Genomic DNA, 27,925 nt, shown 5'->3' with positions numbered 1-27,925 from the left:
ACAGTCTCCCTTCAAACAAACAGTCTTCAGCCAACTCTAAAGCTGTCCCTTTCATTTACTTTCAGTGAAGCTCTTAGCATGAAGCTGCATACGGTTGAAATCTGGGTGGCATGGCAGAGAAAACCATTGGTATTTAAAAGGAAACTTTTTGGGTAATGTTTTTTATGATCCTCAGAATCACAAAGGGTGTTTGATGCTACATCTGCTGCAAGCAATGGGCTGTGTCTGGGATGTGCAAGGTGTTCATGCCTGGGAAATCTTCAGAGTCTCTGAAAAGCCTGGGGGAGGCCGGCATGCCTGGCACAGCAGATGAAGGTAGGGTGTTTCCAGTGCCTGGGGACAGCCACGAATGGGGCATATGATGGAAGTCACAGCCATTTTAGAGGCCCTGCAACTGACACGGGAAATAGGAAAGCCACGTGATATTTGAACTGATGAGTCATCAGCGTGCTCAACTAGAATCCAACAGATTCCCCTCACCATCTTCAAACCACAAGAGTGGCTTAGTCTGATGTCTGTAGTGGCAGGGTTGGCTTTGTTACCCCAAGTGATCGATGGGGAAACTGAGGGAGCTGGAGTAATTTGCTCAAGGTCATTTATCTAGTAACTGGCAGAGCTTGGACTTGGACCCATGTCTGTCAGCTGCCAAAGCCAGGATTCGGGGCTGTGTCACAGTCTCACAGGGAAGTCTCATAGGAAAGGCAGGAAGTGCATGTGCGTCTGCTGGGATTATTCTGAGAGACCACCCTCTCACACAACATCATCTGGAACTTCCCTGCCAGGCTTTTTTTATTTTTTTTTTCCTTTCTTTCGGTGGCATCTCTGCTTTCTTTGTATCCATTCCCAAGACCAAGGAGTGGGGCTGACGTGTTTGGTATACAGTCCCTGTCTGTATGGTTCTCTAAAGCAGGCCACAAAGCAGCTGTGGTGTTGAACCCCTGAAATCCTCAGCTGAGTGTGGTGGCTTGCCAGTGCAGGGAGGAAAGAGTATCTTGGGAAGAGGAAAGAGCTTGCGGAAGGCCCAGGGATGTTAATGAGTGTGGTGTAATCGGGGCAAAGCAACTCAGGGGGGCTGGAGCTCAGCATGGATGGGGCCAATGGTGAGGATAAGGGGAGAGATGACAGCAAGGACTAAAGGATGAAGGTCTGTAAAAGACATGCCAAGGACCCTGGGTGGCATCTTGTAGGTAATGGGCATAGGTGGGAGGGTGGCGATCCCTGGTTTTGCCATGCGAAAGGGAGAGACTGCCTCGGCTCCATCTGGGACTGTTGCAGTGACCCACCAAGAAGACCAAGCATGTCATTCCTTATACTGATGAAGCATTTTGTAGGTTTCAAAATCTGTCCACATTCATCATGGAATTTGAGGTACATGGGGAGGATGTTATTATTTCTGGTTGACACATTCTGGCCCTGAGGCCTTTGTTGCCATGTGTATAATGAGTATACACTCTGCTCTCATGCTTGCTGTTTGCACTCTCCTAATGATCTCTTTCGATAAACAGAAGTTCTTATTTTTAATATAGACCAGTTTGTCGAGTTTGTCTTATATGTTTCATGTGTGTGCCCTGTTTAAATATTTTTACTTACCTTAAGATCATAAAGATACGGCATTTTTTGAGTGTGAAAACCAGAAAGTAACTGAGACAGGTCTCAATCAATTTAGAGGTTTATTTTACCAAAAGGTTAAGGCCCAGGGGCTTTGGACACAGCCTCAGGAGGTCCTGAGAACATGTGCACAAGATGGCTGTGTTACAGCTTGGTTTTATACGTTTTAGGGAGATAGAAGTTACAGGCAAAGACATAAGTCAATACATGGAAGATACACATTGTTTGGCCTGGAAAGGTGGACTTTTGGAAGCCAGGGGCTTCCAGGTCATAGGTGGAGTCAAAGATTCCTGGTTGGCAATTGGTTGAAAGAATTAAGCCTTGCCTGAAGAGTTTGAGGTCAGCAGAAATAAATGCTCAAATATAAATAAGGGGGTTGTGAAAGCCCAGGTTCTTGTCATGTGGATTAAGCCTCCAGGTAGCAGCCATCACAGAGAATAGATGGTAAATTTCTCTTATTGGACATTAAAAGATATCAGACTTGGGCCGGGCACGGTGGCTCACGCCTGTAATCCCAGCAGTTTGGGAGGCTGAGGCGGCTGGATCACCTGAGGTAGGAGTTTGAGACCAGCCTGGCCAACATGATGAAACCCCGTCTCTACTAAAAATATAAAAAATTAGCTGGACGTGGTGGCGGGCACCTGTAATTGAAGCTACTTGGAAGACTGAGGCAGGAGAATCACTTGAACCCAGGAGGCAGAGGTTGCAGTGAGCAGAGATTGTGCCATTGCACTCCAGCCTGGGCAACAAGAGTGAGACACTGTCTAAAAAAAAAAAGGTGTCAGACTCTCCAAAAAAAAAAAAAACCTACTAAGGGAAGGAGATTCTCTACAGAATGCAAATTTCCCCCACAAGAGACAGCTTTTCAGGAACATTTCAGACTATGTCAGAGAAACATTTTTGGGGGTAAGAAACTTTGATATCTGTTATCTGTCATGCGATGCTCTGCCACAGTCAGGTCGGAATTCAGTGTCTTATTGCTGCAGTCTATTTTGTCAGTCTTAATATCTCTGTTTCAGTGTTCATGCTTGTCGGTTATACCTAAACTCCAAAGCTAGGCATGTCTGATGCCCTTTTTCCATCATGGCCTGGACTAGTTTTCCAGATTTCTCTGGGATTCCCTTGGTCAAAAGGGAGATACATTCGGTCATTTGAGGGGCTCAGAATTTTATTTTTGGCTTACAGTGGAAATCTAGAAAAGACCTTTCTGAGTAAGTGACATTTCAGCACTAAAGGACACCGGGGAGAGGGCCAGGAACCCGGGCACACATCTCAGGCGACCATGCTGACCCCTCTGCTTGGGACGCCGAGGAGAGGGCCAGGGACCCGGGCACACATCTCAGGCGACCATGCTGACCCCTCTGCTTGGGACGCCGAGGAGAGGGCCAGGGACCCGGGCACACATCTCAGGCGACCATGCCAAGGAGAGGGCCAGGAATCTGGGCACGCATCTTAGGCGACCATGCTGACCCCTCTGCTTAGGATGCCGAGGAGAGGGCCAGGAACCCGGGCATGCATCTCAGGCGACCATGCCGAGGAGAGGGCCAGGAACCTGGGCACGCATCTTAGGTGACCATGCTGACCCCTCTGCTTAGGATGCCAAGGAGAGGGCCAGGAACCCAGGCATGCATCTCAGGCGACCATGCTGACCCCTCTGCTTGGGATGCCTTTTCCTTCAGTTGGACCCTGTCTTTGGAACCACAAATCCCTTTCCCCCTCAGGTTAGACTGCAGCAGAGAGGGCAGACAGCCAAGGAAAGAAATGCAGCAGCAGCACTGTTTGTCTTAGAGTCCTAGGAGTTCATGGACTTGTGGCTGGCAGGAAACAACAACATCAAATGCATCAAGAATTGCCTTAAGGTTGACAGAGGTGAAGGCAGGAAGTTGAGGTATGCTTTCAGGACAGCTTTTGGCCTCCTGAGCCACTTAGAAGAAAGGACACACCTTTAAAGCACTAGAGACAAACAAAGGGCAGTGCGCCTGCAACCTCCCACATTTCCTAGTGAGTTTGATTTGATTTAAGAGGCTTTTTTGCAAAGTGAAAATCAATAAAAACAGAACTGGCAGGTCTCCCCTGCAGAGAGCCTATGAGTGCCTTCCATCAGGAACACGCTTCTGGGACAGCGGCTCCAGGTCCTCCCTCGGGACAGAGAACTTCGGGCGTGTCTTCAGAGCTGCACTGCCCATTTCTCGGACCCCAGGCTGGGTTTATTCATCAGTGCCAAGAAGGGCCCTGAGCAGGTGTGAAGTGACAGTGTTGTCTTCAGAGCAGCAGTAACTGTGGTCTAGCTGGTCCTAGGTCGGGGGCAACAAGCAGTGGTTTCAGGCTTGTCAAATTTTGGTCGCTGCTCACCTTGGTTGACAGCGATTTGGGGATAAAGAGTGGCTAAGCACGAAGGCTCCAGAGCCAAGACTGTCAGGCTTGAATCCTGCCTCTGCCATTTACATCCTCTGGGACTGTGGGCAAGTGACTTACACTCTGTGCCTCAGTTCCCTCATCTGCAAAATGAGGATAAGAAACCAGCATGTTGAGTGGATTCATGGAGTCAACATGGGCAAAGCACCTGGAACAGCATTGACGTGGAGTCCACACTCAGAGAATGTCATTCGCCAACAGTTTCATGCAGTCATTACATCTACTGAGGCAAAAATGGATTCCTAGATTCCAGAAGGTATTTGAACTTCCTTAACTATCAGGTTGTAGCAACGGGAAAATTATTAGAATAAAGTAAAGAAGTTTCCTGGCTGTTAAGAAATTTAAGAAAGTTAACTACCAGAAAATTATTGGAATATTTCCGATGGCCAAGTGCATGTTTGCCTGAAACATTCTGATAAAGGAGGCAAAAGTAACTGGGATTGCAGGCACATGCTACCACATCTAGCTGATTTTTTTTTTTTCTTGTAGAGACGTGGTCTCCTTTTGTTGCTTAGCCTGGATTCGAACTCCTGAGCTCAAGTGACCTTCCCACCTTGGCCTCCCAAAGTGCAGAGAATACAGTTGTGAGCCTCCATTCCTAGCCCCATTGCACTTTTTAATATGTAAGTGTGAAAAATAATGGCCAGGTGCAGTGGCTCACATCTTAATTCCAGCACTTTGGGAGGCCAAGGCAGGCAGATCAGTTGAGGTCAGGAGTTTGAGACCAGCCTGGCCAACATGGTGACACCCCATCTCTACTAGAAAATATAAAAATTAGTGGGGCGTGGTGGTGCACACCTGTAGTCCCAGCCACTCAGGAGGCTGAGACAGTCAAGTCACTTGAACCTGGGAGGTGGAGGTTGCAGGTCGCAGTGAGCCGAGATCATGCCACCACACTCCAGCCTAGGTGACAGAGTAAGACTCCAACTCAAAAAAAAAAAAAAAAAAAAGAAAAGAAAAATACATCAACTCCATAATACATTTAAAGGTTTCCTTCTTGGTGGGATGGTCAGTCAAGGTTTTCTCTCTGCATAGAGACGAACTTATGACTCAAGAACTTTGCATTTGAGTAGGGGTCATTAGAGGATAGAAGAAGGAGTTGGAGGTCATTCCCTGCATCTCTGGCACCCTGACAAGGCTGTGGCCTTTTTCTGAGTCTGGTTCTTTGGGGTTCCTGTTGTTTTAGTTGGTCCTCATCTTCCATATAAATCTCTAGCCTCTCTTTCTGTTGCTTCTGAGCAAAAATCTTGGGTTCTGCCCTCTATCCATGAGTGTCCTGTGCCATTAAACAAACACTGTCCCTTGAGGACTGAGAAGCATTTGGGGTCACAGATGGGCATCACTCCTGCCAGAAGTCCATAGGTGACTGTCATGCTAGAGGTCCTACAGCTGCCCCAGCAGGTAGCATGTGAGCTTGGTGGCCCAGGATGCAGCTGATCTGTTCTGAGCCACTGTCGATATGGCCACGGACACACCTTCCTTCTCGTCTCTCCTTTCTTTCTTTTTTTTTTTTTTTTTTTTTTTTGAGACAGAGTCTCACTCTGTCACCCAGGCTGGAGTGCAGTGGCACGATCCCTGCTCACTGCAAACTTCGCCTCCTGGGTTCAAGCGATTCTTCTGCCTCAGCCTCCCGTGTAGCTGGGACTACAGGCACACGCCACCACACCCAGCTAATTTTTGTATTTTTAGCAGAGATGGGGTTTCATCATATTGGTCAGGCTGGTCCTGACCTCGTGATCCTCCCACCTTGGCCTCCCAAAGTGCTGGGATTACAGGCGTGAGCCACAGTTCCTGGCTGGTCGTCTCTCCTTTCTTAACTCAACAAAGGAGAGAGTAAGTTAGAGCAATGTTTGCAAACTTCATTTGCCCAAACCAAGAATTCCCCAGGGATTCCCAGAACTAAAGGAGTGAGGAAGTGGGCAAGCAGGAGGGGTCCAGGGACCCTGGCATACCTTTAGTGCTCACATTAACCCATTTAACGTTATGGGGTTTTCTGGAAAATTATTTGTTTAACATCGAGACTTCTGCAGCTCACAGGGTTTCTATGAAGAACCTTCTAGCACAGACAGCCTATGTCCAAGCTCTATCTTGCCTGAAACTTTCTCAAAAGGCATTTTTTCCCGTGAGAAATATTTTAGAAAATTGGCCTGAAAGGGGTTTTAAAATATCTTCTTTGCATAAATATTTTATCTTCCAAAATCATTTGTTTCAAAATGTTTTCAGAATTATTTGGAAGAGGAGGGTGGGGAGTCTTTCAGTAGTGACGGTAACTTGTAACACTTGGTTCACAGAATGTCCCCTGCCCAGGACAGGGCCGCAGCTGACCTCCCTCATCAGGGGCTGCTGGCCCACTACCTGGCACCGCAAAGAGTAGCCCCCACAGGGCTGGCCTTTTTCTTTTACGAAGGACCCAGCCATGTGATGTCACTATCCTCACACAATCCTGTGGCCTGGCATCAGTTTACAGAAGACAGTTTGGATCATCACAGGGCAGGTGAGTTTTCTCTGGGTTTCACAGTGTATATCAGGGGATCTGGGCTCACATGCACGTCTTTTGAGTTCCAGCCCAGTGGTTTTCCCACGACATGCCAGTGCTGAGGGAGACCACTTATTTGAACATAATAAGCTTAGAAGAGAGGCCTTATAGAAGGAGATGACTTGGAGGGCAATGGAGGAGGGTGTGTGCCGTGAGAGGAAGGCTCAGAACGAGGCCCTGACCACAGCAGGTGTGAGGGTCAGGGAGGGGAAGAGGAGCCAGGGATGGACTGAGAAAGCCTGACCAGAGAGCTGGAAGGAAGAGCACAGGGCCCAGAAGCCAAGAGAATATGTGTTGAGGAGAAGAGCGTGGCCGCTGGTACACGTGCGTGCAGGACAGAAGATGCTTACTAGATAGAGAGGAAATGATAATTCTGGAGAAATACTTTCCTTGAGATTTCCATTTTTCTTCCCCTGGATGACCAATATCCTTTTCTTTGGAAAGGTGCGATATTGTAGCTCATAGCAAAGCCAGGGAGTGGGAAGGGAGGGATGCTGTTCTGCTGTGTCCTGACTTTGGCTGCAACGATCAGATTCAAAAACTATTCTTGTTGCAGGACCTGGGGGAAAGGTCATGTGTGGCCTCCTGGATTCCCTTTATCAGCCCTGTGCAGAGGAGCTCTCCGGACCAAGCCGCTTCTCTGTTTTTGTACCAGTCCCTGTAACAGGCTTCTGTGAGGTGGGAGCAGCTGAGGATTGCAGTTTCCTTCAAGGCCTAATGAGGTGAAAGGGGCCTGGGGGTGATTCAGGTCAGTGTGCTTGGAGCGTGTTCATCTTCCAGGAGAGAATTATATGAACAGTCACCTCAGGTTTCCTTTGTAGACACGCTCTAAGGTGTGTTTAAGTTTGCGTGGCTAAAGCCTGTTGGGGCACAGGCTGGAGCCCAGTCCAGAGCTCCCTGCAGCCGCCTGAAAGCAGGTCTCTTAATGGCGTCTCTGGGTGGGTGACAGCTGAGCCCTTCACAGACTGGCTAGATCATTGTCCACGTCCTCATGGTACTCTGTGTCCTCAGAACCACACAGGTTATTTAACTGAAGGCTGTAAGATCTTCTGCATCAAGGGTTTGTGCTGGAATCAAAGTCTTCTCCAGTTTGGCTATTTTATTGTTCTCACCTTGTTTTCACCTCATCAAGATTCACTGTTTGTATTTCTGTTGTTATGTTTCATATCAACAGTTTTTAGATGAGATTATAAAATCATCTGCGTGTGAAATGAAGGAAATGGTTAGAAGGCCTTTGGGTACTTTCAAACAAAGAGAGGGGAGAAGGGAGGGAGGAGGGATAGAGTGAGAACTGTGTGATATGTGTGTGCACACAGTCATGTGTGTGAAGCATGAGCATGTGGCCTGTGTTTAAGGTCCATGGGGAGGATTGTTTTTCTATCTTTTTTTTTTTTAGACTGATCTCGCTCTGTTGCCAGGCTGGAGTGCAGTGGCACGATCTCAGCTCACTGCAGCCTCCACCTCCCGGGTTCAAGTGATTCCCCTGCCTCAGCCTCCTGAGTAGCTGAGACTACAGGTGGCGCCACCACGCCTGGCTTATTTTGATTTTATTTTATTTTATTTTTGTATTTTAGTAGAGACGGGGTTTCACCATGTTGGCCAGGCTTGTCTCGATCTCCTGACCTCATGATCCGCCCGCCTCGGCCTCCCAAAGTGTTGGGATTACAGGTGTGAGCCACCGCGCCCAGCTGTATTTCTATCTTTGTTTACGGTTTTGTTGTTCTGCTTCCTAATTCTTTTATATACTTCTCTTCCATAATCTTCATAAAGAATCCTTTAGGGCTATTTCATTCCATTTCTATAGCCAGTCCTGTGCTTACATAGTCACTGGGCTCCTGCCCACCCCCATCCCAGCTTCCATCCACAAAAGGTCAAATAAAAGAAAGGCCTCCAAGGGGGCTGGTGCCTATCAGAGGGTCTCAGGCAACTGAACAGTTTAGGGCTAGATGTGGTTTAAGATATAGCTTGATCCATGGCTCAAATGGTATGACAGAATGGAATCTCTCTCCATTTGATGACTTTGCTTCTTAAAGAACTGTCCAATTCCTGACATTTGTCATGCAAAATGCAAAATGGCCATTAGCATTTTTTTTTTTTTTTGCAGCATTTACTTCTGGGCACAAATCTAGCCTTTCTAGCAATGTTCTGAGATCCACTCTGAATGGACTGACTTCAATTCTATGTCCACCTGAGCCAATCATATGTCACTGGGGGAAGGGGGTCATTGATTGGCCAGGCTAGGGTTGTAAGCTCTGCCTCTAAACTTGTGGGGCAGTCAGTTCCAGCAACAGCTTACAGAGGAGGGGCATGGTGGTCCTTCTGAAAGGAATGGTCATTGCTGAGCAGCACGATAAAAAAGGTAATTGTGCCATTTACCATCTCTCGGACTTACTATCTTATTTACAGACAAGGAAACTAATGATATCTACCTCCTAAGGATGTTATAAAAATGAAATAAAATTATCCATGTAAAACATTTAGTTCATTGCTTGACCCTTAGGAAGCTTCTAATAGATGTTCTCTGTTATGCTAATTATTACCTCTTATCCTTAAAGATTTGGTTTCTTCCAGACAAACCATATCTGTGTGAATGAAACTGAGGCTAACATGAAGCCGCTCATCTTGTGGGGCCAAATTGAGGGGCATAGGCATAGTCGTTAGGAGTGATCCTTGGGGAAAAGCTTCCAGGAGGAGGTGCTCCTTGTTCTGAGCCTGGAACAAAGAAACAGGATATAAGGAATCCTAGTGAAACCAGTGACCACCAATGAAAGAAATCCCAGCCAAAGTGGATTCAGGGAACAGAAAGTATTGGCTGCTGTAGCTGAACAGCTTGAGGGCTAGGGTTGACTTCAGGTGGTCTTATGGAGAGTAAAAGCCTCCTCAGAATTCAGCTTATTTCTTTATTTATGTACTCATTTATTCTTTTAGCTGTAGAGACAGTGTCTTACTACATTGCTCAGGCTGGTCTCAAACTCCTGAGCTCAAACGATCTCTCACCTCACCCTCCCAAGTTACTGGGATTACAGGCGTGAGCCACCACAACTGTCTCTGGACAGGCAGTTGACACATTTCCACCACAAACATGCTCATTACAAAACCCAGTAGAAGGCCGGGTGCAGTGGTTCCCGCCTGTCATCCCAGCACTTTGGGAGGCTCACGCGGGTGGATCAACTGAGGTCAGGAGTTCAAGACCAGCCTGGCCAACATGGTAAAACGCCGTCTGTACTAAAAATACAGAAAATTAGCTGGGCATGGTGGTGGGCGCCTGTAATCCCAGCTACTTGGGAGGCTGAGGGAGAAGAATCACTTGAACCCAGGAAGCAGAGGTTGCAGTGAGCCGAGGTTGCACCATCTCAAAGAAAACCTCCATCTCAAAAAAAAAAAAAAAAAGCAAAAAACAAAAAAACCCCACAAAACCCAGAAGAGGAAAGTTCCTTGTAACTTTCCCCCCTTCCTTCCCAACCCCGGGGTAGTCACTGTGAGCAGTTGCTACTGTGTTTCTCCAGGTGCTCTCTGTGCCTGTGGTAATATATGAATGGTAGGTAATATGGTTCAGTGAGATCATCTGTGCATGTTGTTAGGCAATTTTCTGTTGCACTTCATAGACCTTGGTTATTTTACTGCCTTACTAGTGTAGATATGCTTTGTCATATCTAATGTCTGTATGGTATTCTCAGGAATGAATGTAGCCTAATGTGTTTAATCAGTGCTGGGCATGGGGCATGGTTTGGAATGATGCAGGTGAGTGACAAGAATCCAGTGCAGGCTTGGGGAGAGAGCCGCAAGCCATCTCAGCCATGAAAATGTCAGCATTGTCACATCAGGGGAAGGACGGGGCGTAGCTCATGTCGTCCAGGCCACAGTTTGCTGCCCCCTGACAAATCAGACTCCCCAGAGGCATCAGTGAAACCTCATTACCAGTGGCGGGTTAATGAGCAGCTGGAGCTGCTGTGGTGGAGCTCAAAAAAATTACAAAGATGTCATCAGAGAAGCTCAAGGCCCTTTCACAGGTGTCATCCCCTGTACGAGATCTGAAAGGATGAAAATGTTATGATCATTATTACTCTGCTAATAGCTAAACAATAAGAGAAAAAAGAAATCACCTACCAAAGATCATTGCAACTCAAAATTGTGCTGGAAGGACACTGTGGCTTTATAAAAAGCCACTCCTCAAAGTCAAACACCATAGCTTGCTGAGAGAGAAGTAGAAAATCAATTATTAATGCAGCCCTAGCCTGGCTTGTGCTTCTCATAGAGAACCAGATCTTTTAATAGGGGAGGGAAATCGGTGAGGGTGTAGGGGAAATGGTAATAAACAAAGATGAAAACCTACTGCAATCGTGTGCTGCCTGTCATGGGAGAGCAGAAACAACGTTCAAAGACCGAGGGAATAGTAAAATGGAAACAAGCAAAAGAGCCTTGCATTGAGATGAAGTAGTAATCAGGCTGCCTTCATGAGCCTTCCTGGTCATTTAGCTAAACGTGTAAACACACTTCTAATGTAGGGTCCTTTCCTCCGCTTCTAAGTAGCTTCCCTGTAGCTATGTAAGGGCAAAAGGGGAATTTTTAAAACATTTTTCTTTTTTAAATTTTATTTCAATAGCTTTTAGGGGTACAGGTGTTTTATGGTTACATGGATAAATTGTATAGCAGTAAAGTGTGTTCTTTTAGTGCACTGTCACCCAAATAATGTAGCATACCCCATAGGTAGTTTTTATCTCTGACCTCTCCCACCCTCCCCCTTCTGAGTCTCCCATGTCCATCATACCCATCTGCCTTTGTGTACCCATAGCTTAGCTCCCGCTTATAAGTGAGGACATGCAGGATTTGGTTTGGTTTTGTATTCCTGAGTTACTCAGGATAATAACCCCCATTTCCATCCAAGTAGCTGCAAAAGATATTATTTCATTCTTTTTTATGTCTGACTAGTATTCTGTCGCATACATGTATCACATTTTCCAAAAGGGGAAATTGAAGGTTATTCAGGGCACATTTCCACCTCAGCACTACTGGCATTTTGAACTGAACAATTCTTTGTTGTGAGGAACCATGCTGTGTACTAGAGGATGTTAAGCAGTGTCCCTGGCCCCTATCCACTAGATGCAGTAGCATTCTCCCGGTTGTAACAATTAGAACGATCTGTGCACATTGCCAGAGTCCCCTGGGGGGTGCAGAATACCCCTAGCTGAGATCCAGGGAGGCTGCTATGCACACAGTGTTTGAGGTGGCCCAGCCCCTAGCCTTTGCTCTGGGTCAGGAGGAGGAAAGCCAGGCTTCCCTTTGCTTTCCCCTGCCAACGCAGTGCAGCCATATTCCATCTCACCCCATCAAACCACCTTGCAGAACAGAAACGGTCCCTGCAAACACATCCATTTTCAGAAGCCCAGATATGTTGAGGTCCTAGTAGCATCTAGCTGAGACCTAGGACCTCCTAATGCTAGAACCCTGCTCCAGCACAGCCCCTGCTTTGTGTTCTTGGAAGCTTTGGGTTCTTGGGAGCTTGGAAGATACACCAAATGTGAGTTCTGTAGTAGCATTAGGCCCCAACCCGAAAGTCATCCTCTGGTGATCGAGGCAGGACTGCTGGGAGGGCTTCTATTACCAAATGTAGCCTGAGCCTGTCTTTTCCCTCTTTATGGACTCAGGCCCAGTAACCACTCAAAGATGGAGACATACTGTTTCAGAGAAAAGCAAGGCAGAGAAGTAGGCAAGGCAGAGAGAGCTTTTCTCCCTAAGGCCTAGAACTGGTCTCCTCTTCTCAAGTGGAAGCAGCCCCAGGGGCTTGTGCACTGGCCTCCAAGACCAGGGTGTCTCCCACTCTGCTCACTGCAGAAGAGCTGTGGTCGGTGGTCTCCAAGGAGGGCTGCCATCAACTCCCTGCCTATTGAATTACCTTGGCAGCTTGTTGAAAACCGAATGAATCAAACATGTGTAGAACTCCTTCTGGATTCCCTCCTCTTTTCTGTTATCTATTTGTCTATTCTTATGCCAGTATCACATTGTCTTATTTACTATATGTTTTATGGTAAATGTTGAAATCAGTTAGTGAGACTTCTCCAATTTTTTCCTCCTCATTAAAAGTTGTTCTGATGATTGTCGGTTATTTTTATTTCGATATAAATTTTAGGCCTAACTTGTAATTTCTATTAAAGTTCTTATTGAAATTCTGATTTGTATTGTATGAACTATATAGATCAATTTATAGGAAACTGACATATTCATAATATTGAGTCTTCTGGCTGGGCGTGGTGGCTCAAGCCTGTAATCCCAGCACTTTGGGAGGCCGATGCAGACGGATCACCTGAGGTCGGGAGTTTGAGACCAATCTGGCCAACATGGTGAAACACCATCTCTACTAAAAATAGAAAAATTAGCCCAGCATGGTGGTGCGCACCTGTAATCCTAGCTACTCCAGAGGCTGAGGCAGGAGAATTGCTTGAACCTGGGAGGCGGAGGTTGCAGTGAGTGGAGATCATGCCACTGCACTCCAACCTGAGCAACAGAGCAAGACTCCATCTCAAAAAAATAAAAAAAATAAAATATTGAGTCTTCTAATCAATGACTATTTCATATCTCTTTAAATTTTTCTTACTTTCTCTCATCAATGTTTTCCGTTTTCAGTGGTCTTGCATGTCTTTTGTTAAATTTACTCTCATATATTTATATTTTATGATGTTATTATAAATGAAATTTTTATAAATGAAGTGTTCATTTTATAAATTTTATAAATGAAATGTTTAATTGTTTGCTGCTAGTACACAGAAATACATTTTTTATATCGACCTTGTATCATGTGATCATGCTAAATATTTGTGTAGATTATTTAAATTTTCTATGGAAACAATCAAGTCTATGAATAAAAACAGTTTTACTTTGTTCTTTTCAATTTTTATGCATTTTTGTTTTATTTATTTGCCTTACTGAAGTAGATAGGATTTTCAAGACAATGTTGAATAAGAATAATGAGAGTGGATATCTTGACTTTTTTATTCTTAAAGGGGCAGTATTTAATGTTTCACCTTTAAAAATGACTTAGCTGTAGGTTTTTCTCAGATACTCTTTATAAGGTTAAGAAAGTTGCATTCTAGTCCCAGTTTTCTGAAAGCTTTTTAAAAATGTGTTGAATTTTGACATTGGTTGATTTTTAAATGTTAAACCAATCTTGTATTTCTGGAGTAATCATAGTTGGTCATTATACTTTTTAAAATATCACTAGATTTTATTTTCTAATATTTTGCTTAAGACTTTTTTAACTATAGTCCAAAGCAAACTCTTTCCTGATTCAGCACACAATCTGTAATGTTCATTGCTCTATAGATTACTCTTTTTGTTATTATTATTATTATACTTTAAGTTTTAGGGTACATGTGCACAACGTGCAGGTTTGTTACATATGTATACATGTGCCATGTTGGTGTACTGCACCCATTAACTGGTCATTTAGCATTAGGTATATCTCCTAATGCTATCCCTCCCCCCTCCCCCCACCCCACAACAGTCCCCAGTGTGTGATGTTCCCCTTCTTGTGTCCATGTGTTCTCATTGTTCAATTCCCACCTATGAGTGAGAACACACGGCGTTTGGTTTTTTGTCCTTGCGATAGTTTCCTGAGAATGACGATTTCCAGTTTCATCCATGTCCCTACAAAGGACATGAACTCATCATTTTTATGGCTGCATAGTATTCCATGGTGTATATGTGCCACATTTTCTTAATCCAGTCTATCGTTGTTGGACATTTAAGTTGGTTCCAAGTCTTTGCTATTGTGAATAGTGCCTGTATAAACATACGTGTGCATGTGTCTTTATAGCAGCATGATTTATAATCCTTTGGGTATATACCCAGTAATGGGATGGCTGGGTCAAATGGTATTTCTAGTTCTAGATCCCTGAGGAATCGCCACACTGACTTCCACAATGGCTGAACTAGTTTACAGTCCCACCAACAGTGTAAAAGTGTTCCTATTTCTCCACATCCTCTCCAGCACCTGTTGTTTCCTGACTTTTTAATGATCGCCATTCTAACTGGTGTGAGATGGTGGTATCTCATTGTGGTTTTGATTTGCATTTCTCTGATGGCCAGTGATGATGAGCATTTGTTCTTGTGTTTTTTGGCTGCATAAATGTCTTCTTTTGAGAAGTGTCTGTTCATATCCTTCGCCCACTTTTTGATGGGGTTGTTTGTTTTTTTCTTGTAAATTTGTTTGAGTTCATTGTAGATTCTGGATATTAGCCCTTTGTCAGATGAGTAGATTGCAAAAATGTTCTCCCATTCTGTAAGTTGCCTGTTCACTCTGATGGTAGTTTCTTTTGCTGTGCAGAAGCTCTTTAGTTTAATTAGATCCCATTTGTCAATTTTGGCTTTTGTTGCCATTGCTTTTGGTGTTTTTATACATCTTTCTGTGACCTATGAAAGCAAAATGTAAATTATAAGATATAATGTATAACAACATCTATAACCTATCTGTCTCTTTTTTCCCCCTCAATAAATAGGCTTCTTTGTTGTTTAAAAGAAAAAAAAGACTTTTTTAACTATAGTCATGAGAGACCATTGGTCTGTAGTTTTTGTTGTTTTGTTTTGTTTTGTTTTGTTTTGTTTTGTTTTGTTTTGTAATTACCTTGTCAAGTTTTATGTCAAAACTTATGCTGGTCCATATAACATATTCCCTCCTTTACTATTTTTCAAAGTGTTTGGGTAAGATTAGCACTATTTCTTCTTTAAATGCTTGATAGATTTCATTAATAAAACAATGTGAGCCTGGAGTTTTCTTTATGATAAGTTATTTTGATAATGTATTCTGCTTCTTTAATAGATATTGGGCTATTAGATTTTTTATCTCTTTTGTTTTAGTTTTGGTAAGTTGTGTTAATGATATCCCCTTCTTTCACTGACAATGTTGGTATTTGTGTTTTCTCTCTCTTTTTCTTTATTTGTTTCACTTGGGTTTATCAATTTTATTCATCTTTGAAAAGATCCAGCTCTTAGTTTTATTGACTTTACTGCTTGTTTTCTATTTATTGATTTTTGCCATATTTTTATTATTTTCGTCCTTCAACGTACTATTTTTTTCTAAATGTATATCACTTCAGGTAAAATATTAAAAAAGTGTTCTACTTATTTTGGGCATACTTTGCTTTTCTTTCTCTAGCTTTTTAAAGTGGAAGCTTAGATAATTGTTTTTAAGTCTACTTTGCTTTTAAACATTTAAAGCTATACATTTTCCTCAAAAAACTGCTTTACCTGCATCTCACAGATTTTTATATGCCTAATTTTTTAGCATTCAGTTCAAAATATTTTATTATTTCCATTTAGACAGAATTCTTCTTTGTCTTACACATATTGGCACTGGCAACTTTAGTTTTAGGCTACATTTCAAGGAGGTTGAATAACAAATATCATTAGAAAATAGAGACAGCACTTCTCTGGAGTAGAGAGAAGACTTGTTTGCTGCCTAACGTAATAAAGATAATATCTCCCTCTGGAGAAAATGTTGGACAGATTTGCCTACTGAATTTCCTAGCTTAGGGTTCTTTAAATGTGATACAAAACTACTGTGTGTATAGCATTTATCTGGGCAGCTCCACATCTCTCACTGGGACTGGAGGGGTAAGAGGGACTTGGGTAAATACGAAACTCATGCTGCTTGCTGTGCTATGGACAATTAATTTCTTTACCTCTGACTCAGGAGTTTTGTGTCCTCTGCCACCATCTGTGAAATTGTGGCAGGCAAACTTGTTAGCTTGCAAACAGAATACGAACTCAGACCCTTCATGGTTCTTGACAATTTCCTTTGAGATTTTTTTTTTGACCTATGCATTAGGTAGTAGTTGTTTAATTTCTAAATATTTTGCATAATTCCAGGCATGTTATTTTTATTGATTTCTAATTTAATTCTGTTGTGGTCAGAGAACCTACTATGTAAGATCTCAATCCTTTAAAAACATTGAGACTTATTTTGTGTCCCAGCATATTGTATCTAAAATATATGTTTCATGTGCACATAAACAAGTTACATATTTATAGTGTATGGATGCAATGTTTATTGTTAACCCAGTAAAATTGGCTAATAATGTTATTCAAACAAATAGTTGTTTTTCTTAGGCTTGCTCTTTGTGTGGAATATTTATTTGCATCTTAGTACTCTCAAACAATCTGCAGTTTTATATATAAAGTATGCCTCTTATAGGTAGCATATGGTTGGATATTGCTTTTAATATCTAGTGTGACTATTACTGCATCTTAATAGGAATGTTTAGTACATTTACATTTAATGTAATTATTGGTATGGCTGGGTTTAAGTATATCTATCATATTGCTATTTGTTTTTTTAGTCATCCCAACTATTTTTTTCCTTTGTTCTTCCTTTCTTGCCGTCACATGGATTAATCAGATATTTTTAGTGTTTCATTTTAATTTATCCACTGATATTTAGCTTAACTTCATTGTATATTTTAGAGATTTTTCTAAGTATTTATATACACATATACTTACCATAGTCTACTTAGAGTACATACTGTGCCACTACTTATACAATGCAAGAAACTTCTAACAGTAAAACTACTCTCCTCTTACAGTCCTTTATGCTATCATTGTATATATTTTGTTATCTATCCACATAATAAATGATATAATACAATGTTATTCTTTCTGGTTTAATCAGTCAATTTTATAAATTCCCAGCCTGGGCGACAGAGAGAGACTCTATCTCAAAAAAAAAACAAAACAAAATTAGCATACAGTAGAATTGGCCCTTTTGGTATTGGTATACAGATGCATGCATATTAACACACGTATGTTGTTACTGTTATATTAACTGTTATAGTAATACTGTTATATATATACTGTTATATTAACTGTTATATTAACATATGTATGTTGTTAATATGCATGATTGGCCCTTTTGGTATATTGGTATACAGATACATGCATATTAACACATGTGTAAACACCACCATAGTCAGAATTCAGAATAGTTCTATCATCCCCAAAACTTTCCTGATTCTGTTCCATTGTAAGTCACACTCACCTCCATTCCGAATCCCTGACAATCAGTTATCTGTTTTCTATCACTGTAGTCTTTTGGAAACTGTTATATAAATGAAATCTGTAGTATCAACTTTGATTCTGGCCTCATTTACTGAGCATTCAGATTGCTACGTGTATCAATAGTTTGTTGCTTTTTAGTGCTAAGTAGTGTTTCATTGTGTGGATGTACTAAAGTTTGCTTATGTATTCACCTAAGGGTTTTAGGGATTTGGGGACTGAGCTAGGAAAAACATATGACAATGAGAGGCAGTAACACACAACTTTATTGAGTGGCAGTAAGACAGGGTTGCATGAGACAGTCTAATGAGACCACCAATGAGAAAGGGAATAAGGCAAGAGAACTCTGGAGGGAGGGTTGAATATGGGGCTTATGTATGTATCTCAAGGGTGTCTCACAGCAGCACAGCAGGAAGTCTTGGGTCAGGCAAACCAAAGGCAGCAGGAATTTTGGGTTTTATAACTGCAAGGCCCTATTTATCAGTAGGTAACAGCTGTTGGGTGAGGTTTCTTGGAGTATGCAAAGCAGGAAAGCTCTAAATAGCTAAAAATTTGCTTGTTCAGGCAATTTTATAAATAACTCGGTATGTACAAATTTGAGTTTGGTTTGGGCAGGATTTTGAGCTAACTGGTCTCAACCTACAATAAACATAGGGGCCAAAACACAGAGGCCATCTTTGGCTCATTTATGTAACCATTCATCCCTTGAAGAACATCTGGGTTGTTTCCAGTGGGCAATTATAAACAGAGCCTCTATCAACATTCCTGTACCAGTTTTAGAATGAACATAAATTTATATTTCTCTAAGTACTCAGGAGTAGAATTGACGTTCTGTCATATGGTAAGTGTGTGTTTCACTTTATAAGAAACTTGCTGTTTCCCAGAGTGGCTGAACCATTTTGCATTCCCACAGCAATGTTTGCAGTTCCAACTGTTCTGCATGGTCACTCTCACTTGACATTGTCGTTATTTTTATTTATGTGTGTAATTGCATTTCAACAAGGTTTTAATTTGCATTTTCATAATGACTAACGATGTTAAATATCTTTTCATGTGCTCATTTGCTCTCCTTAAATACTGTTTGGTAAAGTGTCTGTTCACCTCTTTTGCCCATTTTTTAATTTGGTTGTTTGCTTACTTATTGTTGAATTAAAAAATTTCCTTTTAGATTCTGAATGCAAGTCTTATGTTGGATATGTGATTTGCGCATATTTTCTCCCAATCTGTAGCCTTTCTTTTTACTCTCTTAGCAGTGTTGTTTCAGAGTTAAAGTTTTTAATTTTGATGTAGTCCAATTTGTCCAAAAATTAATTTTCAGTTTTTATATTTTGAAGGTTTGTTTTTAGCTTCCATATACATTTAGGGTTTTTATGTAATTCTTATAAATGAACTCTTTTATTATTGTATGATATCCTGCTAAATTTGTTTGCTCTGAAGTCTACTTTGTCTGATATTAATATAACCACTTGAGCTTTCTTTTGGTTAGTGTTTGCATTTTGTATCTTTTCTCCTAATTTTAATGTACTGATATCTTTATGCTTGAAGCAGAATTTTTATAGAGAGTATATAATTGGATTATGTATTTTTAAAAACTTGTTCTGACAATCTCTTTATTTGGTGCATTTAGATCATTTACCTGTAATGTAATTGTTGATGTGTTTGAATGTAGTTCTATCATTTTATTCTTTGTATCTCCTTGTTCCTCTGTTTATCATCCCTGTGTGTTCCCATTCCTGCCTTCTTTTGGGTTATTTAATAATTTTTTTTTTTTTTTTTAGACAGAGTCTTGCTCTGTCGGCCAGGCTGGAGTGCAGTGGTGCAATCTTGGCTCACTGCAACCTCCGTCTCCCTGGCTCAAGCGATTCTCCTGCCTCAGCTTCCTGAGTAGCTGGCACTACAGGTGGGCGCCAACACGCCCAGCTAATTTTTGTATTTTTAGTAGAGACGGGGTTTCACCATGTTGGCCAGGCTGGTCTTGAGTTCTTGACCTCAGCCCGCCTCTGCCTTCCAAAGTGCTGGGATTACAGGTGCGAGCCACTGTGCCCGGCTTATTTAATAATTTTTAATTCAATTCTATATCTTGTGTTTTTGAATACATCTCATTGTGTACGTACTTTTTTTAAATTAAAAAAAGTGGTAGCCCTAGTAATTACAATATTTTCATTTAAATGTTCACTATCTACACAGAATCAGTATTTTACTGTATCATGTGTTTTGAAATCTTACCTCTCTATAGGTTCCTTCTTCCCCCTTTATGTTGTAATTTCTTATATGATTTTTTTTTTTTTTTTTGAAACGGAGTCTCACTCTGTCACCCAGGCTGGAGTGCAGCGGTGCCATCTCGGCTCGCTGCAAGCTCCACCTCCCGGGTTCACGCCATTCTCCTGCCTCAGCCTCCCGAGTAGCTGGGACTACAGGTGCCCACCACCACGCCCGGCTAATTTTTTGTATTTTCAGTAGAGATGGGGTTTCACCGTGTTAGCCAGGATGGTCTCGATCTCCTGACCTCATGATCCGCCCACCTCGGCCTCCCAAAGTGCTGGGATTACAGGCGTGAGCCACCGCGCCCGGCCTATATGTTTATTACGTATTGCATCTACATACTTTGAAATTTCATTTAAAAATATTGTTTTACTTTGAAACATAACATATTTTAAAGAATTCAACAGAAGAATAGTTTACTCAATTTTTTCGTATATTTTAAATTTCTTTTGCTTTTTTAAAATTTCTGCTCTGAAGTTTCTTTCTGGTACCATTTCCTTTGTGTCTAGTGACTACTTTAGCAATTCTCTTAGAGCAGGTCCACTGACAATGAATTCTCTTGGTTTTACTTTAAATGAGAACTTCTTTATTCTCCTTTTTTTTGGAAACATACTTCACATACCATAAAATGTACCTTTTTAAAGTACACAATTTGTTTTTTATTTTTTTTTTTTTGCATATTCTCAAAGTTGTGCAACTATCACCATTACCTAAAGCTAGAACCTTTATATCACCACCACCACCCGTAAAATCCCTGTATACATTAGCAGTTCATTCTTCTTTTCTACCTAGCCCCTAGCCATCAATAATCTTTCTGTCTCTATGAATCTGTCTATTCTGGACATTGCCTACAACTGAAATCATAGAATATGTGGCGGTTTCTTTCTGGCTTCTTTCACTTTGCACAATTTCTTTGAGTTTTATCCATATTAGCATGTATCAGAACTTAAGTATTTTTTACAGCAGAATAGCATTTCATTGTATGGATATAACATATTATATTTATCTACTCATCAATTGATTGATAGTTGGAGTGTTTGTATCTTTTGGCTATTATGAATAGTGCTGCTATGAATATTCATGTATAAGTTTTTGTGTAAATATGTGTTTTCAATTATCTTGGGTCTATACCTAGAAGTAGAATTGTTGGGGCATATGGAACTCTATATTTAATTTTTTTAGGAGCTGCCAAACTGTTTTCCAAAGCAGCTGCATCATTTTATATTCCTATGAGCAATGTGTAAGGGTTTCAATTTCTTCACCTGCTCGCAAACATTTGTTATTGTCTCTTTTTTATTATAGCCATCCTAGTAGATGTGAAGTGGTATCTTATTGTGGTTTTGATGTACATTTCTGAAGAGTATTTTTCTTGGACCTAGAATTCTTGGTTGAAATTTTTTTATTATTATTATTTTGGTATCAGAAATTTTTGATGAGAAATCCACTGTCTTGTGTACTGTTTTCCTTTTTTAAGCAATGCATCTTTTTTTGTCTGGCTGCTTTTAAGATTTTTTCTTTGTCTTTATTTTCAAAGTTTGATTGTAATATGTCTTTGCATTGATTTATTTGTGTTTTCGCTGTTTGCAATTTTCTGAGCTTCTTGAATCTGTAGGTTTATTTTTTCCCCCAAACTTGAAGAGTTTCTATACATTATTTCTTTAAATATTATGTCTCCACTGCAGTCTTTATTATTTCTTTCTACGACTCAGATGAAACAAATGCTAGGCATTTCTATTTTATCCCACAGATTAATTTGTTTTGTTTTGTTTTGAGACAGAGTCTTGCTCTGTTGTCCAGGCTGGAATGCAGTGGCACAATCTCAGCTCACTGCAACCTCTGCCTTCCAGGTTCAAGCGATTCTCATTCCTCAGCCTCCTGAGTAGCTGGGATTACAGGTGCCCACCACCACACCCAGCTAATTTTTGTATTTTTAGTAGAGACAGTGTTTCACCATGTTGGCCAGGCTGGTCTCGAACTCCTGAACTCAGGTGATCCTCCTGCCTCAGCCTGCCAAAGTGCTGGATTATAGGCATGAGCCATCGCACCCAGCCCAGATTAATTTTTAATCAATCTTTTCTTAGTTTTTAAGGTTGAATATTTCTATTGATCTATCCTCAAGTTCCAGTGAACTTTTCACTCTGTCATCTCAATTATGCTATTGAGTACACCTAATGAGTTTTAACATTTTATTCATTGTATGTTTTAGTTCTGGATTTTATATTTGGTTCTTTTGTGTATTGTATATACATTTATGTATGTTTGGCTCTATTTTGGGCTGAGACTTTCTATTACCTGATTTATTTTAAAGATGCTTAGGCCAGGTGCTGTGGCTCATGCCTTTATTCCGTGCACTTTGGGAGGCCTAGGCAAGTGGATTGCCTGAGCCAGGAGTTTAAGACCAACCCAGGCAATGTGGTGAAACCCCATTTCTACTAGATAGATAGATAGATAGATAGATACATACATACATACATACATACATACATACATACATACATACATACATAGAACCAAAGTTAGCTGGGCATGGTGGTATCTGTCTACAGTCCCAGCTACTCATGAGGCTGAAGTGAGAGGATGGCTTGAGCCCAGAAGACAGAGGTTGCTGTGAGCAGAGATCATGCACTCCACTCCAGCCTAGGCAACAGAGCCAGACTCTGTCTCAAAAAATTAAAAATAAAAATAAATACGTTTACCCTTACTAGTGGGATAATTATCAAAGCCTTTGTCAGACAAATTTAGCATCAGTTGGAAAGGTTTACTGTTGGATGAGTTCCAATATCTGACTGTTGTCATCCGTTGGTTGTCTTTTCTCATGCAATTTGTAATTTCATTGGTTCTTCATGTGCCATGTAATTTGGTATTATATTCTGGACATTTTCAATATTGTGTACTACAGGACTGGGTCTTGTATATACCCTGTGGAGAATATTGACATTTTTGTTTTAGCAGCCAATTGACCTGATTGGGCTTAGATTGTAAATTCTGAGTGGCCTTCTCTGGGATAAAGTCTCTATATTAGTTTACTTTTAACAGCCTTTGCAGTCCTATTTAAATTTGTCCTACATGTGTACCCTCTGGTGGTCAATCTGGGACATGGGTCATGGTCTCTTAGTTTAGTTCTCAATGTCTTTGTAGGCTGCTTTGAATCAGAACCTGAATGCTAAACTTGAGGTTGATTTCAGGAGTTCATAAACACCTTAATGGTATTGTTTCCCAAGCTCCTCCTTTTCTGCAGTCTTGGTACTGGGATTCTCCTTTTTTAGTCCTCTAGCCAAAAACCTGAAGTTTTATTTACTTTGCTTTTGCACTTTCTTTCTGGAACTATGTCTATATCCAAGGCCAACCAGTGTGTATCTGGAGAGAGTAGGGGGCAGAGAGGAAAAATCAACAGGAACTTGCCTCACCCCCTTTGGACAGTAGCTCTTTTCACTGAAGAGGAAGGCTCTTCTTTCTTTGAGTTCCCAGCGCTGTGGGTTCTGGCTGCCACAACTTGTATTAACAGGAGACCCCTTTTCCTCTTCTTGAGCCTGAACTAGAGGGCTTCTCTTCGAGATCTTTTTATCAATGCTTATTGTGTTTCTGGAGTTCTGGCTGCCTTGAGACCAGGTCAAGAGATACCACAGGGAAAAAAAAAATGGTGAATGACATGTTGAATACAAGCAGAGACACTTGACACCTTAGTGTTGAGCATGACTTTAATGAGAATGATTTTTAAATTTCACTGTTACATATGATGTTTTCTGTGGCTTTTAAATTAAATATCTTTCATTAAGCTTTTCATTTTTACTTTTCTTATTGTAATATATGTTTTATTATGTGTATAGATTGAATTTTATTGAATACTGTTTCTTTTCCTATTGAAATAACCATATAATTTCCTGGTTTGTTAATGTGGTAAATTATATCAATAGGTTTTCTGATTTGGGCCCCTTATACTTCTGGAGTAAAGAGGCTCTTAAATTAAACATAAATGTGGTGGTACACTTTATTACAGGTTTTACACAAAAATGAATTAACCCAGTGTTACATTGGTGGTCTCTGCTGTGTTAAATGTTTTAGTTTAGAGGGTTTTATATTTGGTTACAGATTTCCGTATGGTTGTATATTTATTGTAGCTTTAAATAGTTGAAATATTGCTTTTGATATGAAATTTAAATCAGACTTTATCTTTTTTCTGAGGTTGGTTGGAAGACATGAAGCTGAGCTGTTTCGTATTTTGTTGGGCATTTACTCAGAGTAGGCAGCTGCCAATAAGAATCAAGGGTATTAGAAGACACCCAAAAGGCCCTCAGTTTTGGCCATGACAGTGTAACTAGTACTAGACTTTCATTCCCACAGAAAACTACTATTAAATTAGACAAACATGAAGCAGGTGTTTTCAGACACTGAACATTACACAGTGCAGAACTGTGATTGTTGAGAGAAAGGAAACACACAAAATGAGCCTCAAGGTGTTACAGAACAGAGATATACAGGAAAGGACTCCCAATCCAGACCCCAAGAGAGGGTTCTTGGATCTCGCACAAGAAAGAATTTAGGGCAAGTCCGCAGTGCAGAGTGAAAGCAGGTTTATTAAGAAAGTGAAGGAATAAAAGAATGGGTTACGAGTACATAGACAGAGCAGCCCTGAGGGCTGCTAGCTGCCCATTTTTATGGTTATTTCTTGATGGTATGCTAAATAAGGGGTGGATTATTCATGCCTTCCCTTTTTAGACCACATAGGGTAACTTCCTGATGTTGCCATGGCATTTGTAAGCTGTCTTAGCGCTGATGGGAGTGTAGTAGTGAGGACGACCAGAGGTCACTCTTGTGGCCATCTTGGTTTTGGTAGGATTTAGCCGTCTTCTTTACTGCAATCTGTTTTATAGGCAAGGTCTTTATGACCTGTACTTTGTGCCGACCTCCTGTCTCATCCTGTGACTTAGAATGCCTTAACCATCTGGGAATGCAGCCCAGTAGGTTTCAGTCTCATTTTACCCAGCTCCTATTCAAGATGGAGTTGTTCTGGTTCACAAACCTCTGACATTTCCCCCTTCCCTTTTATAAGAGAACCCTTAATCCTAAGGGTCGCAGAGGTATGAAGATTCATTTTCTGTAACTTCTTCAGGCTGAATAGGGGTGATGATATTTCTGCCTGTTAGGGTCTATTGTGTTCAGGGTAGAGAGGAGCTCAGTTAGAAAACATCAGTATGGTGAGGGCCATTTATGACTCTTGAGTTTTGACAAGAGGTGATATCTGGAAGATTAATAAGTGTTTAAGAAAACATTTAGTAAGCTTTTTTTATATTCCTACACAGAGTATAACAGCAATATATTCCACAAGAGTGAAGCAAAATAAGTAAAGTTATTCCAAGTAAACTAAATTAGAAGGCTTTTCATGAATTGGGCAACTGTTGGAACTAAGCTGGTATGGGGTTGCTAGCTGATTGTAATGTGCCCAGAATTAGAATACTAATCCAGATTTTTACATTGCCCATCCCTCTTGTTTCTTCTGAGCAACAGTCAGACATCACTGGTTGGTTCACCGGAAGAAGAAGAGTTAGCCTGCTTATTGCAGAAACAAACTTCAAAATGACTGATGAGACTAGAATTTAATAACAAGTATACCATAGTTTTTGAAACAAAATATTTCTCTCTCCAGTTTCCCATTTTTGCTAAATGCAAATTATGGTAAGACCAATTTGCTTTATTATACTTGGCCTGATTATTTGTATAAAGTGCAGCAAGAATAATTATTTTTCACATAGGTTCTTTTTAAATTGGCTTTGATGGAATTCTGTTCCATAGAAGGAATTTTAGATAAGGCTTTTAAGGCCAAGCTTATCCATGGGTTTGTACCATCAAATACCTATGAGTTTGGTAAATTTCTTTCCTCTTGAGGTCCCAAGATAACTTGTGGCTTCTGGACCTGTTAGAAAGTGGCATTCTTTACTTACCACAGGTCAGAAACCCTGTACAGGCACTGTTGTAGGCAAGGTATGAGGCCAGTTTCCCATGAGGCTTTTATTGGCTCTACAAGTTAAGTTTAATTTCTTAAGGGAAAACACACCATTCCAGTTAAAGCCTTGGTAAAATGACCAGTTTCTTCAATTGTGTCTTGTTACAAAAGAAAACAGATTTTTATTGCACTTATACAAATAATTATATTGCCATAAGTTAAGCATACTTACAACTAGTTCCTAAATTTTGGAAAAATTAGGTAGAGAAAAATATGTTTCCATTTTTTTTTCACAGCAGTATACTTTACTCAATTGTTATAAGCTGTAAATAGCTTAAAAAAGTTTTTTTTTTGACTCTGAAAAACAAAACAAAGGATTAGCAGTGTTTTAAGCAAAGTTGAAAAGATTACTTCAGTTTCCTATTGGTTCTGTTAATTTCTGTTGTATTTGATATTTGTAAACATTTTAGCTTTTTATGAGAGTTTTGAATGTTGTTTTCTTTATTTTAATATTACAATTTCCAAAGTTATTAGAAAAACTTGTATTTAACACCTGCCAGGGTTTTATAGTTGATTACAAACCATCTTTTAAAGGGGATTAAAACAAGACAGCAATTGCCTGTGGATGATAAAAAGTTTGAGGACAGCCACCATTAAAGCCATAATTGATCAGGAAATTTGGTTACCTATGTGGTACACAGAATTTTACATAACAATTATAATTATTAATAACATACACTAAGTTATATTAGAATTATAGAAGTTTTCCATAACTTTGGAACATATGCCAATAACACATTTATGCAAATATCTAAAGAAAGAAAAACACCATTTTACATTTGATAATGCTTCCTGTATGAATTTTACATCAATTAAGCCAAATTTTACCTTTATTTTAATGTACTATTAATGTTAAATCCAATTTTTATATAAAACCTTATAGACATATTTACCCAATTTTAATGTTTAACCATAAGGAAAGATTCTTATAAACCTTTTATAACTCTTTACATTTTTTGTGAAAGAGCAGAAAAACCCATTGTGCTTTTATTCCAATGTTTAGTGAATAATATTCCTTTAACTTTAGCCAATATGTTCAAACACAGAATCTCTTACAATTAATTTTTATAAACCTTCCACAACTAGTTTAAAAAAATTTTTTTTTCTTACTTAAAACAATCCTTTAACATTTTAGGCAGAAAAAAAACCACATTCCCATGACTTCTTATAATCTTTTTTTTTTTTTAACCAAAAACACATTTTGCTTTTCTTACACACCTTGCATGTAAAACTGTTTCTTCAGTAGTCTTAATTACATGTTATAATGTTAACTCTTAGCAACTTTTATTTTTGGTGAAAACCTTGGTAAATTCGAGATTTTAATTGTGTACTAGTGTGTAGCCTGCCTAGGACACACCAGGCAAAAGTGCAGATAAGAGCTGACTCTCTAGCACAGCTAGGGAGTGTGGCTAATTCCAAATGTCCCCAGGCCTTACTCTTACTTAAGTAAGAGTCATAGTGGCATTTTATGAAGGATTTAGGAGGCCTAAGAACCTTTGGATTGTACATTTCTTGCATAAATTCCCTTTCACAGTTCCTTTCACGACTTACACAGACCATCTGAGTCATTCTTGGACTTTCTGACTTGCCTTAAACATCCCTCCTTTTAAACAACCAGTTATTTTACTTTAGGACAAGAATTTACCATGTGAGATCCCTTCTTATGTAAAATCTCTTTCTTTATAATCTTGTTTGTATAGCTAGGGAGTATGGCTAATTCCACATGTCCCAGCCCTTATCTAGAAGCTAATGACTTTAAAGTAGGTAAATTGAACATTTTTCTTTTTTCTTTTATTTATTTATTTATATTTTTTTTGAGTTGGAACCTTGCTCTGTCACCCAGGCTGAAATGCAATGGTGCAATCTCCACTCACCACAACCTCCACCTCCCGGGTTCAAGCGATTCTCCTGCCTCAGCCTCCCAAGTAGCTGAGATTACAGGCACCTGCCACCAGGCCCAGCTAATTTTTGTATTCTTAGTAGAGACAGGGTTTCACCATGTTGGTCAGGCTGGTCTCGAACTCCTGACCTCAGATGATCCACCTGCCTCAGCCTCCCAA

The 27,925-nt window shown here is 40.5% G+C and overlaps 1 pseudogene across 1 annotated transcript in view, besides 2 other annotated features; it reads left to right on the top strand.

Annotated features, from left to right (window-relative positions):
- Positions 1–27,925, top strand: part of LOC100420587 (SHC binding and spindle associated 1 pseudogene) — a 292,307-nt pseudogene that overhangs the window by 174,152 nt on the left and 90,230 nt on the right. The window lies entirely within an intron of this gene.
- Positions 7,940–8,146: a silencer, noted in NCBI's record as "fragment chr19:29036304-29036510 (GRCh37/hg19 assembly coordinates)". NCBI's record gives its function as "represses an EF-1alpha promoter that drives an FKBP-Casp9 reporter gene in an ReSE screen in K562 erythroleukemia cells {active_cell/tissue: K562}" and the evidence as "EXISTENCE:reporter gene assay evidence [ECO:0000049][PMID:32094911]".
- Positions 27,167–27,461: a silencer, noted in NCBI's record as "tiled region #12624; K562 Repressive DNase matched - State 5:Enh". NCBI's record gives its function as "represses a minimal TATA promoter and a strong SV40 promoter by Sharpr-MPRA in K562 cells {active_cell/tissue: K562}" and the evidence as "EXISTENCE:reporter gene assay evidence [ECO:0000049][PMID:27701403]".

Source organism: Homo sapiens, chromosome 19 (assembly GCF_000001405.40).
Source record: "Homo sapiens chromosome 19, GRCh38.p14 Primary Assembly".
In the NCBI taxonomy this organism is placed as follows: Eukaryota; Metazoa; Chordata; class Mammalia; order Primates; family Hominidae; genus Homo; species Homo sapiens.
Note: the sequence above shows the minus strand (reverse complement) of the source record. Positions and strands in the feature narration are given on the sequence as shown.